A 13861-nucleotide genomic window follows, 5' to 3' on the forward strand; every position below is an offset into this window, starting at 1 on the left:
AAGTCCATGTATTTCTATTCAAAAAAATGCAATTTCATTTTTAAAAATCACAATTAGGTTTTTTAAATAGAACTTGAAAAACTAATTGCAAAGTGTATTTGGAATAGTAAACATTCAAGACCAGTCTAAATAATCTGAAAAGAGAAATACAACAGAGTAGATGTAGCCTCTTAGACTGAAATACTATATAATAAAGATGCATAAATTAGAAGTGTATTTAAGAATAGACAAATCAATAAATAAAAGGGAGACACATGCATATATGGAAATCTGATATAAGCTACAGGTGGCATTTCAAATTACAGAGAAACAGATGAGCCATTTAATGAATGTGGTTGGTACCACTAGTCATCTATATGAAAGTAAGAACAAATTTGGTTTTCCTTCCCTTCCCCACCTTCGGAAATAATAAAATGTTCATGTCACAGAGTTGTTATTATATTACATGATTGTGCAAAAGAATAAGGTATATTTATGTGCAAAAATATGAAGAAATCTTCAGACTGTAAAGTAAAAGGGGTAAGTCACAGAAAAAATATATATAGCACAATTCTATGTGTGTGTGTGTGTGTGTGTGTGTGTGTTGGGTTGGGGAAGACAAACCCCAGGCTCCAAGTGCACATGTGTATATGAATACATATGCAGAGAAAAATACCCTGGAAGTATGTACAACAACTGTTACCATGGTTACCATAAGGAGGAGAGTAAGAGGTGGGTAGAGCTGTGGGAGCCATTATTATTATTATTATTATTATTATTTATTTTTTTTTTAGACGGAGTTTTGCTCTTGTTGCCCAGGCTGGAGTACAATGGCATGATCTCGGCTCACTGCAGCCTCCACCTCCCTGGTTCAAGTGATTCTTCTGCCTCAGACTCTCGAGTAGCTGGGATTACAGGCATGCACCACCATGCCTGGCTAATTTTTGTATTTTTAGTAGAAACGGAGTTTCACCATGTTAGCCAGGCTGGTCTCGAACTCCTGATTTCAGGAGATCCACTCATCTCAACCTCCCAAAGTGCTGTGATTACAAGCATGAGCCACCGCACCCAGCTGGGAGCCATTATTCTTTATTCCAAGCTTCCATAGTGGTTAAATTTAAAAATAAATAATACTGTGAAACAGTCACACGGAAAGTATTATAAAAATTCTAAATCTCTAAATAAATATATGGTTATTTAATAAATCAAGCAGTTCAATTGGCTTTTTTTAATTAAAAAATGTTTTTCCTTTTTTTTTTCTTTTTATTTTCTAGAAGTCGTAGCTTTGAAGGGTAAAAAAATGTTTTTTCTTAAAGATGCAGGTTTTTGCTATGTTGCCTAGACTGGTCAAGTACTACTGGGCTCAAGGGATCCTCCCACATCAACAAACAGGTACCTGTCACCCTGCCTGGCTCTCAACTAGGTTTTTGGAAAAGTTTTCTACCTGCTAGTCTTGGGGTGGGGCAGTGGTTCTCAAAATGTGGTGTGAGAAACCCTAATGGTCCCTGATGCCATTTCAGGGGGTCTGTGAGGTCAAAACTATTTTTAAAATAATACTGATATGTTATCTGTATTTTCCTCCCATTCTTTAATGAGTTTACAGTAGATTTTCCAGGAGAGAAAGAGGGTCATGAAGTTAATGAGATAGATGGGACTATGGGAAGTAGCAAGATTTTTCACTGTCTAGCTTTCTTGTTGTATTTTAATCTTTAAACCGTAAGAATGTGTTACCTATTAAAATATATACATTAGAAAATCTTCAAGATGAATACTTGTATAATCTCTGGGTATGCGAGGTGTTCCGGTTGCCTTGAATGATGGAGAAGTGGAGCTGTGGCCCCACCCAGGTCTACGTTATATGACGGAGAAGTAAACTTGATATTATTTGAGCCACGGAAATTGTCATATCGTTCTAACTCATAACTAAACTAATAGAGGCTTAAATGTCTCTTCTTCTTCTTTTTTTTTTTTTTTTTTTTTTGAGAGAGAGTCTTATTCTGGGGCCCATGTTGGAGTGCAGTGGTGCAATCTCAGCTCATTGCAACCTCCAACTCCTGAGTTCAAGTGATTCTCATGACTCAGCCTCCTGAGTAGCTGGGACTACAGGTGTGTGCCATCACACCTGGCTAATTTTTGTAGTTTTAGTGGAGAAAAGGTTTCGTCATGTTGGCCAGGCTGGTCTCGAACTCCTGGCCTCAGGTGATCCACTTGCCTCGGCCTCCCAAAGTGCTGGGATTGGAGGCATGAGCCACTGCACCAGCCAAATGTCTCTTAATACAGCTCCTCTCCAACCAGTTATGTTATAGAATAATAAACCAGCATTCAAATAGATTTTATAAATCTATAGATGTCCATATGTATTACTGGGTTCCTTTATCTACTTGCGGTGCTATAACAAAGTACCATAGACTGGGTGACTTAAACAACAGAAATATCTCTGTTCTGAAGGCTGGGAAGTCCCAGGTTCTAGCCAGTTCCATTCCTGGGGAAGACACTGTTCCTGGCTTGCAGACAGCTGTCTTCTCCCTAGGCTCTTACATGGCCTTATTATTTATCTATTTACTTATTTATTTAGTGTGTGCCTGTGGAAGACAGACCATAGCTCTCTTTCTGTTCTTATGAGGATACCAATTCTATCGGATCAGGGCTTGTGATAAGATAAATATATATTTGATCTTTGTCCCAGTTTCTGACACAGAACCCCTAAAGTTCTTGTAATTTCCTGAGTGATAAGTGTGCTAGGAGTACCTTTTGTTCTAATATTTGGTCTTTGACCCTGGTTGCAGACACAAGAATTTCTAAAACTCTTGGAGTTTCTTCAGGGATGGGGAATGGGGATGGGCAGTGCCTTTTGTTATTCATAATAAGAACCTTTTAACCATAGAAGATTTGTGGTAATGATGTGACTCTTGCAAGGTGGAATCTGGTAACCAGAAAGACAAACACTTGGCCGGGCACAGTGGCTCACGCCTGTAAACCCAGCACTATGGGAGGCTGAGGCGGGTGGAGGTCAGGAGTTCAAGACCAGCCTGACCAAGATGGTGAAACCCTGTCTCTACTAAAAATACAAAAATGAGCCAGGTATGATGGTGGGCACCTGTAATCCCATCTACTTGGGAGCCTGAGGCATAGAATTGCTTGAACCCAGGAGGCGGAGGTTGCAGTGAGTCGAGATCACACCACTGCACTCCAGCCTGGGCGACAGCAACAGAACGAGACTCCATCTCAAAAAAAAAAAAAAAAAAAAAAAAAAAAACAACCAACACTTTGTTATAAATAAAGTTTTGTTGCTGCAAAAGAAATAGCACTCGAATATAAAATTTTCTTTTTAATTCTCAGCAAGGCAAGTTACTTCTATAGAAGGGTGAGCCCTTACAGATGGAGCAATGGTGAGCGCACACTTGGACAAGGGAGGGGAAGGGGTTCTTATCCCTGGCACATGTGGCCCCTGCTGCTGTGTCATTCCCCTATTGGCTGGGGTTAGACTGCACAGGCTAAACTAATTCTGATTGGCTAATTTAAAGAGTGTGATGGGGAGAGTGGTTTGGCGGGAAAAATGGTTATGACAGAGCAGATAATCAGAATGAGTCAGGGTAGAGTAGGAAATCAGAGTGAGTCAGGGTGGAGAAGAGTCAGGGTGGAGTAGGTAATCGGAAAAGGTTGCTTTACGTGGAAGTTAAGTTTAAAAGCAGAAGGCAAAGAATTGAACATACATATTAATTCTTTGAAGAGAAATTTATAACTCATATTTAATAACTTCCTCCTCTTGCATTTTTCCTTATAGCTTTTTCTTTAACTCCTTTAACATGTCTTGGCTTAGTTGTTCTGCCTGATTTTCCAAAAGAAGGAGCTTCTCTGGTTAAGGTGGAGAATAGTTAAGGGAGATCTTAGTAAGTACCACTTCTGTGAGCCTCGGCACCAACCCATGGATGCATGATATGACACAGCACCCGACAAGATTAAGTACACCTATTACGGCTACGAGGGAGGTAAGAATCGAGGTTATTACTCCTTTCCATTTACCAAACCACTTTTCTAGCCATCCTGTAAAGGGGTCATTTACCCCCGAGTTGCTGGCTAATTCATTGGATAGAGCAGTCAGTCCTTTCAATGCCTTTGTTATACTTCCATTAGGGGCGGTGTTGAAGGTGCAACATTGAGTTTTAATCATGACGTAAACTCCTCCTCTTTTTGCTAATATCATGTCTAAGGCTATCCTATTTTCTCAAGCCATCTGGCTAGTAGCCCCTAACTGCTCAGCTATTCCTTTAACAGCATCTCTAGTGTAGTTAATAAATCGCTGTGGGTTGTAATAGATGTAGTTTATCCAATCTACATTTTTATTAATTGTCACCCACCAAAATATTGAATCAAATCCTGCAGCTATTTCATTTCGGGCTTTAAATTGATCTGGTATTCCCCGTGGGACTTCAATTGTGTCTAAATAGATGTGAGAGTCGAAAGACCCATAAGGGACTTCTCTCACTTTACGATGTCTTATTTTTCCTTCCTCTGGTTGATGAAATGCCAGGGTGAAAGGGATACCCAACTGGACTAAAGCACAAGTGCCACTCCAGTTATTTGGCAGTGTCCAGTAAAGGTCCACCACAATACTACTACACATCCGCTCGGGGATGAACAAGGGCTGACTGATTGGTAAGCTCTTGAAAATTCTTAAGCTCGAGCCTGCCCGGCCTGCGGCAACAGCATGGACACGGTGCAGTGTCAGCAGCAGCAGCGGCAGCAGCAGTGGCTGGCAGCCACGCAGGTGTTTATGTCTGGTCGTGGGGTCTCGCGGCAGCATGGCAGACTACCTGATCAGAGGCGGCACCAGCTACATGCCTGAGGACGGGCTCACAGCGCAGCAGCTCTTCACTGGTGCAGCAGCTCGCGACCGCCTCACCTACAACAATTTCCTGATTCTCCCAGGATTCATAGACTTCATAGCTGATAAGGTGGACCTGACCTCAGCCCTGACTTGGAAGATCACGCTGAAGATGCCACTGATCTCCTCCCCCATGGACGCTGTGACAGAAGCTGACATGGCCATCGCAATGGCTCTGATGGGAGGTATTGGTTTCATTCACCACCACTGCACCCCAGAGTTCCAGGCCAATGAGGTGCGGAAGGTCAAGAAGTTTGAACGGGGCTTTATCATGGACCCCGTGGTACTAAGCCCCTCACACACTGTGGGTGATGTGCTGGAGGCCAAGATGCAGCATGGCTTCTCGGGCATCCCCATCACTGAGACAGGCACCATGGGCAGCAAGCTGGTGGACATCGTCACCTCCTGAGACATCAACTTTCTTGCTGAGAAGGACCACATCACCCTCCTCAGTGAGGTGATGACACCAAGGATTGAGCTGGTGGTGGCTCCAGCAGGTGTGATGTTGAAAGAGGCAAATGAGATCCTGCAGCCGTAGCAAGAAAGGGAAGCTGCCTATCGTCAATGATCGCAATGAGCTGGTGGCCATCATCGCCCACACCAACATGAAGAAGAACTGAGACTACCCTCTGGCCTCCAAGGATTCCCACAAGCAGCTGCTGTGCGGGGCAGCTGTGGGCACCCGTGAGGATGACAAATACCGCCTGGACCTGCTCACCCAGGTGGGCGTTGACGTCATAGTCTTGGACTTGTCCCAAGGGAATTCATTGTATCAGATGGCCATGGTGTATTACATCAAACAGAAGTACCCCCACCTCCAGGTGATTGGGGGGAACATGGTGACAGCAGCCCAGGCGAAGAACCTGATTGACGCTGGTGTGGAAGGGCTGCACGTGGGCATGGGCTGCAGCTCCATCTGCATCACCCAGGAAGTGATGGCCTACAGCTGGCCCCAGGGCACTGCTGTGTACAAGGTGGCCGAGTATGCCCGGCACTTTGGTGTGCCTACATAGCCAATGGCGGCATCCAGACCATGGGGAACATGGTCAAGGCCCTGGCCCTTGGAGCCTCCACAGTGATGATGGGCTCCCTTCTGGCCGCCACCACGGAGGTCCCCAGCAAGTACTTCTTCTCAGATGGGGTGTGGCTCAAGAAGTACCGGGGTATGGGCTCACTGGATGCCCTGGAGAAGAGCAGCGGCAGCCAGAAACAATACTTCATGGAGGGGGATAAGTTGAAGATCGCGCAGGGTGTCTCCAGCTCCATCCAGGACAAAGGGTCCATTCAGAAGTTCGTGTCCTACCTCATAGCGGGCATCCAGCATGGCTGCCAGGATACTGGGGTCTGCAACCTGTCTGTCCTTTTGTCCATGATGTACTCAGGGGAGCGAAAGTTTGAGAAGTGGACCATGTTGGCCCAGATCAAGGGTGGCGTCCAAGGCCTGCACTCTTACAAGAAGAGGCTGTACTGAGGACAGGGGTGGAGGCCGAGGTGGTGGAGGGGGTGCACCCCAGTGTCCACCTTCGGGCGCAGCCTTCCTCCATAACTGAGTGGTCCACAGATTTGCACTACGGGTTCCCCAGCTCCTTTCCAGGGAGAGAGGAGGAGAGGTCCAGAGGGGTCCGTGGCCCCTTGCTGGGCACCCCTGCAGAGTCAGGACTGCTCCCTGGGCCAGACTGCCCTGGGAGCCCCATCAAGCCTAGCCAGCCGGGCTCTCAGGCCTTTCTTGCTTCAGCCTGCTCCAGCCTGGCCCCCACCCCAGGGGCAGGTAGCCCCTCCTGGCTTCTCCTGTAGGGCACCTCCCTGCCCCCAGCCCCCCAGGAAATGGTGCTCTCCTGGCCCTGCCTCTGGCCCTTCCTGGGCCGCTGCCCCCTCAGCCTGTGGCACTTCTGAGCTCCTGACCTAGGCCAAGGGGAGGTCTCTGCCCCCTTCCCTGGCCCTGGACTACCCTTGGGCCCTGCTCCTCAGGCCACTTCCCTGTCCCTGTCCCTGGGGAGGAGGCTTCCCTGGTCATGGCCGCTTGCCTGTCATTTCTGACTCACCACCCTCCCCAGGTATACCGTTCCTGCCCTCTCCTCAGCTGCAGTTGAAGGCTTTAACTTTGCACACTTTGGGATCACAGTTGTGTCATTGTGTATTAAATAATCAGAATAAATCAAGCAGGTCTAGATAGAAAGAAAGAAAGGAAGAAAGAAAGAAAGAGAAAGAAAGAAAAAGAAAGAATAAAAGAAAGAGAGAAAGAAAGAAAGAAAAGAAAAAAGAAAGAAAGAAAGGAAAAAAGAAAGAAAGAAAAGAAAAAAAGAAAGAAAGAAAATTCTTAAGCTCACTGCATCCCTTCAGGTCTCCAAGGAACATTAAGTTTCCTCCCTGTTGTGAGAGACATGAAGTGAACTTGGTGTTGGGAAACGGAAGCTGGATGGCCCTCAGGGGCTGACCCGCAGGGTATCAGACTTTGGGATATAGCAGAGAGAGAGGTTGGCATGACTTGTTACCCCAGGCTGCAGAATCCTGGAAAAGAGCTACCATGCAACCCATGCCCAGTCAACTGGAGGACCACCCTAGTGGAAAGGGGACAATCTGGGCTTCTGGCCTGCCACGTGCACAAGCATAACAGTTGCTTTTGTTTAACGTGTGGATGGAATATTTGATCCATTCCAACCAGGCATTTACATCTTGGTATCCAATCTCAATTGTCAAAGCTTGTTTTAAGTCTTTAACTTCTACCATCGCTATCTTGGCCTTGTCGTTAGATGGAGGAGGAACAATGGTTCCGTTGTGAGAGGTTTTGGAAAAAGGCTTAGAGGAAGGTGCAGGCAGTGGGGGATCAAAGAAACGCATTTCAAAGAATCCCATAGGGTCTGTTCCAGAAACCTCAGCCTCCATACCATAAAACCGGCTTAAAGAAGGAAACCGGTTTAGAAAAGGGGAAGAACTTTGGGGGCTTGAGATAATAACCTGTATAGGATTGCACTGGTTTAGCTGACAGTTGAGGGTGCTGTCCCTTTAGTAAAATGAATGTATGGTTTTAGGAAACTACAGAAACTGGTTGGGGCACTCCATCCTTGCTCTTTGGTGGTTCACAGAACATTGGACCAACTACGGCATAAAAGCTCTACATCGGGGGGCAAGACTCCCGGTTGCCACTGGGGTCTTTATCGAAATCTCCCCAGATTAAATGGTCCCAATTCACTAATGCCCAGTCTGAGGAGAGCCAGGAGGCACACAGGCACTTTTCTAAAGCAGAGGGCTGTCTTTGACTTAACAAGTCCCCACAGGGTATAACAAGGCAAGCATCAAATGCAATAGTTTGAGGCAAAATGGACTTGGTTATGTTAATAACTAGATGGTCAGCGATAGAGCGAGGAAAGAAGAAAGAGTAATAGAATAGATGAAAGAGAGTTACATTTTTCTTAGCTTTAGTTTGGTAGGGTTTCCCCCCACGACTATGGTCGTGGACCATAGTCCCAGGCGGTGCTTTCTTGACTGGTGTGGTGAGTCCATCCTCTCTCTGCTGTGCGGACTGAGGTTTCAGTAGTTAGGAGCACTAAGTAAGGACCTCCCCAGGCTGGCTCGAGCTTCTCCTCTTTCCAGCTCTTGATGAGGACGTGATCCCCAGGCTGATGCTGATGCACCGGGAACTCCAAGGGCGGCACCTGTGCTAATAGACCTTTAGTTTTAAGATAAGAGAAAATAGAAGATAGACCAACTATATAATTTGTAAGGAATTGATCTTCTGTTTCAAAGGTAGGTATATCAGCAGTGGAGTGCAAATAAGGTAATCCATAGAGCGTCTCATAAGGAGAAAGACCAATATCTTTCCGTGGTGCAGTTTGAATTCTCAGCAGGGCAATAGGAAGACACTTGTTCCATGGCAATCGAGTCTCTAAGACTAATTTGGTTAAGTGGTTCTTTAGAGTCTGATTCATCCTTTCTACTCTCCCTGATGAGGGGGTGTGCCAGGGAGTATGGTGTTCCCATCTAATGTCTAATGTTTGGGATAGCTTTTTAATAATGTGTGCAGTGAAATGAGTTCCACTGTCTGAGTCAATATTTTCTATTAGTCCAAACCTGGGTACTATATTTTCAATTAGGGCCCTAACTACATTATTGGCTGTTGCATTTGAAAGGGGATAGCTTCGACCCAGTGAGTGGGGTGGTCTACTATCACTAGTAAATATTTTAGATGATCTATTGGAGGCATTTCTGTGTAATCAACTTGGATACTTTGGAATGGCCTTAAGCCTGGATTCCTTCCCCCGAGAGGTAATATTTTTATAGTATGTTAATTAGTTTTCTTAAATACTAAGCAACTATCTGTAACCTGTTTGGCCAGAGTATAAATTCCTATGCAATCATAAACTCTGAGAACTGCTCTCTGGTCTTGCAGTATCCATTTTCCTTCTGAATTCTCTTTAGCGCCTATTTTTATTAGTTTTTCTTTTTCAGCAGAAGAGAAAATGGGGATTATGGTAGGAGGAGGGAGGCAGGGAGTTAAGTGAAAAATACGCATTTCAGAAGACACAGCAGCCTGCTTGGCTACCTGATCTTCTAGGTTATTTCCTCGACTTTCAAAACAAAGGCTTTTCTGGTGTCCGGGAACATGGACAATAGCTATTTCTTCTGGCAACGGAAGATTATTCAATAGTTGGGTGATCAGCTCCTTGTGAACAAGGTCTTGACCTTTACTATGAATGAGACCTCGTTCAGTCCAAATTTTCCCAAACGTATGGGCCACTCCAAAGGCATATCTAGAATCACTATAGATGGTTCCTTCCTGGTGCTGCAAGTGCTTTAAGGCTTGGCTGGGTGCAAACAGCTCATACTTTTGAGCAGACCAACTGTTGGGCAATTTTCCTGACTCTATTTCTGCAAGAGTTTCTCCAACAATCATTGAATACACATTATGTCTTTTTTCCTCAATCACCTGGGAAGAACCATGTATGAATAAGTACCATCCAGTCTGGAAGGGGGTTTCTCCTAGGTCTGGTCGAACCTTTGTATGGTAATCAATTAAATCTAAACATGTGTGTTCCCTCCTTATATTTGAATTCCTTGTTAGGAAACCTGCTGGGTGGAGTGAATTATCAGTGGTCAATGTTAAATCATCCTTTTCTAACAGAATGGCCTCATACTTTAAGATTCTCGAGTCAGTAAGCCATCCCCCTGCTCTATGGTTTAAGATAGTTCTAATTTCGTGAGGCGTGCTTACTGTCAATTTTCTCCAAAGGTTAACTTTCTGCTTTCCTCGACTAGTATTGCCGTAGCCACGATGGACTGGATGCATTGGGGCCATCCACGAGTGACTGGGTCTACGATCTTTGATAGGAAGGCTACGGGCTGCCGATGGCCTCTGTGTTCTTGAGTCAGTACTCCTAAAGCTACCCCACTGTCCACATTAACAAAAAGGTGAAATGGCTTTTCTAGGGAGGGTAAAGCTAAAACAGGGGCAGTTATGAGCCTTTCCTTCAGCTTCTCGACTTGATCAACTTCCTCAGAAGTCCACAGGAGATGGTTAGGCTTCTCCTGGGCAAGTTTTTGATATAACAGTTTACTGTGTAGTGCGTATGAGTCAATCCATAAATGACAGTATCTGACTAACCCTAAACATTTCCTGAGTTCTTGTTTAGTTTGAGGCAAGGGTTGGTACACGATTCCCTCGATTCGTTCGGGCCGTATTCTTCACTTGCCTGCACTTATTAAGTGGCCTAAATATTTAACTTCAGGCTCTACATACTGAAGCTTTCTTTTTGAGACTGTAGCCCTTCAAACTGCAGATGTTTAGGAATATGTGTAGAGAAGTCAGTTACCTTCTCTATATCTTCACCAGATATAAGAATGTCGTCCACATACTGAAGAAGGCATATTTGTTCTGGGATGACAATTCTTTCTAGTACTTGTTCTAAAATTTGGCCAAAAAGATTAGGGGAGTCTGTGAACCCTTGGGGCAAGATTGTCCATCGATATTGTTGTTTCCGCCCTGAGTGGGGATCCTCCCACTCAAAAGCAAATATATCTCGGCTATCTTCAGCCAGGGCACATGCCCAAAAAGCATCCTTCAAATCTATTACAGCAAACCATTGATGATTATATGCAATCTTGCTAAGAATGGTGAAAGTATTGGGGACAATAGGGTGGGTAGTCTGGACTATTTGGTTGATAGCTCTAAGGTCCTGTACTAGCCAGTATGACCCACCTGATTTCTTGACTGGCAGCATTGGGGTGTTATAAGGTGACATACAGGGCTCGAGAAGCCCATCCTTAATGAGGCCTTTGATTATAGGTTTCAACCCTATCCTACCTTCTAGAGGAATAGGGTATTGCTTCCTTTTTACTACTCCCGGGGTTTTTAGCTTGATGTGGGTTAGAGGCACTTGGAGTTTCCCTCAGTTTCTGTCTTTGGACCAGACATTTGGATTAACATATTTTTCATCTGCGGTGGTGAGTAGGTTTAATGAGGTGAGGAATCCTCTTGGGCTGACTTGTAGACTTATGGCCAACTTAACATTAAATTAGTTCCTGCTTCAGGGATTAACAAGAACTGAATATGAGCTGAGCAATCCTCGTATCTAATTTCTGTGCTTTCTAAAATTTTTGCTCTAAATCCTTCCCCTTTTACCCTGGAGACTAAAAGTTCCTCTGAGGAGGAGACAAGATTAGATGGGGGAAACAAACAGAGGAGCGAACAGCCCCTGAATCGACTAAAAAGGTGATAAGCTCATGTTTAGGCCCCACCTCCAAATGTATCAAGGGCTCCTGGTGAGACTCAAGATAAAAGAGACAGAGCCCCTGACCCCCCTATTCTTCCTCGAAAGTCATGAGTGGAAGGGCTTCTTTCTCCTTTCTTAGTTCAGGACATCCTCTCTTGAAGTGGCCTGTTCTTCCACATCTGTAGCACCTATCTTGTCCTTCCTCCCTCTTAGTTCTGGGATTCTTTAACCCTGCTCCCCCATACTATTTAGGGGGCATGGTAGACGAGGACCTTGGTCCTCCAGATGGAGGCTGGGGTCATTTAAAAGAGGGTTCAGACTCTTTATAGTTTCTGGCTCCCTGGAAACTTTGTCTAGAAGTACCTGGGTTTGGAGCCATCTGTTGGAAGGTGGAAAACATAAGTTTTGTCTTTTGTTTCTGTTTTTCTTTGTCCCTTTTCATGTATAATTTCTGAGCTTCCCCAAGAAGCTCACTTAGGGGACGGTCTTCCCAATTGTCTATCTTTTGTAACTTTTTTGAAATGTCTGGCCAAATTTTAGTGACAAATTGGAGTTTCAACATTCCTTGCCCAAGGGGATCATCCAAATTGAGGCCTGCATACTGCCTCGTTTGCTCCTTCAGTCTGTCTAGGAATCTCATAGGCCCTTCATCCTTTTCCAGTTGTATATCAAATGCTTTAGAAAGATTTTGGGTTCGGGGTACTGATTCCCAAATTCCTTTTATTATCATCTCCCTTAGGTCCTGCATATTTTCCCGGTGATCTGCATTGTTATTGTCCCACCGGGGGTCTCAGGTGCTGAATTTCTGGTCCGTTGTAGGAACGTTTTCACTGGGAGGGTGCTCACGTTCCTAAATTACCATAGCAGCCCTACAAATCATACTCCTTTCTTCCCCTGAAAAGAGGATGCCCATGATGGACATTAACTGGACCCAAGTGTATAACTGAGGCCTAAGAATTGGTCAATTTGGTCTGCCACTCCATAAGGGGTCATCTAGTAGCAGTTTAAGCTCCTTTTTAAAATTCCGACTTTCTGAACTGGTTAAGGGAGCATTTACAAAGCCAATGGCCCCCTACTCCTTGTGGTACCTCTTTCAAAGGGAAGAAGGTTGGGGCCAACCTCTTAGGTACAGAGGGAAATGGGAAATTCTGAATATCTTTTTTACATTGTTCTATCTCATGCTGAAGTCCTTTTAGAGAGGGGTATTTAAGTTGGGAGGAAATAGGCTGGTGGGACGGTAATTTCCAAGAGTCAGAGTTGTAAGGAGGAAGGATAACGTGAGTAGAGTGAGGATTTGGAACGGGATCTGAGGCGGCAGTGGCTGTCTGAGGGGAAAGACTGGGGACACTGAACGGGGAAAGATAGTCTAGGGGATCCCATGTGCTGGAGTCTTCAGGCATGAGAGTTGGCTCCTCTGACTTTTCATTTTGAGGTGCCAGATTGGGTTCTTCCCTATTTGTTTTTAAGGGGAAAAGGAGCGCAGGTCCTTGCCTCCAACAAAGGGCATAGCCTAGTTCTTCTGGAGACATTGGACTTTTATCATTAACATATTGTATTAACAGCTGACACATTACATCCTCATTTGACCCAAACTTTGGCCAGAAGATTGAGGGTTTGAGGATGGGTCCCTGAGTCCAAATAAAACAGCAATATTTTATCATTTGTTGCTTTTTCCTACGTTTAGTCCTTTCATTATCCTTCCAGTGTTTTAGCATGAGACCTAGGGGGCTATCCGGTGGGGATATCTTTGTTATCATCTTTATCCCCCTTGCTTCCTGTCTTGCTTAGGGTATTTCCCATCTTGATGGTTTGGGGGTAAGGTTCAAGGTTCGATTTCCCTTACTGGAAATTTCTTGCCTTTTGGGTGAGGCTCAATTTTCTGCACTGGAAATATCTTGCCTTTTGGGTGAGGCTCAATTTCCCCCACTGGAAATTTCTTGCCTTTTGGGGTGAGGCTCAATTTCCTCCACTGGAAATTTGTTGCCTTTTCTACTACTGGAGGTTTGTGTGAGGTGCAATCCCCCCAACTGGGGATGTCTTGCCTCTTTTTAACCTCTAAGCCACCCTGACCAAGGAGTACTTCACCACCCCCTTGCAGCTTTCTTACCTTGGTCCTGACCACCAAGGAAATACTTTACCAGCTCCCATGGTGTCTTTTCCTTGGTCCATGCACAGACTTGCATGGTCATTATGGAGGATCCTTTAAGATAGGTTGCTGGCCAGTTTCTTTCCGCGTTGCTGAGAGCTGGAGTTATTCCTCACACTGGGTGGGTCTTGATTTGTCACCCCC

The 13861-nt window shown here is 45.0% G+C and overlaps 1 pseudogene; it reads left to right on the top strand.

Annotated features, from left to right (window-relative positions):
- Nucleotides 4664-7031, top strand: IMPDH1P3 (inosine monophosphate dehydrogenase 1 pseudogene 3; annotated as a pseudogene).

The sequence above is a fragment of the Homo sapiens genome, chromosome 7, assembly GCF_000001405.40.
Source record: "Homo sapiens chromosome 7, GRCh38.p14 Primary Assembly".
NCBI classification, from domain to species: Eukaryota; Metazoa; Chordata; class Mammalia; order Primates; family Hominidae; genus Homo; species Homo sapiens.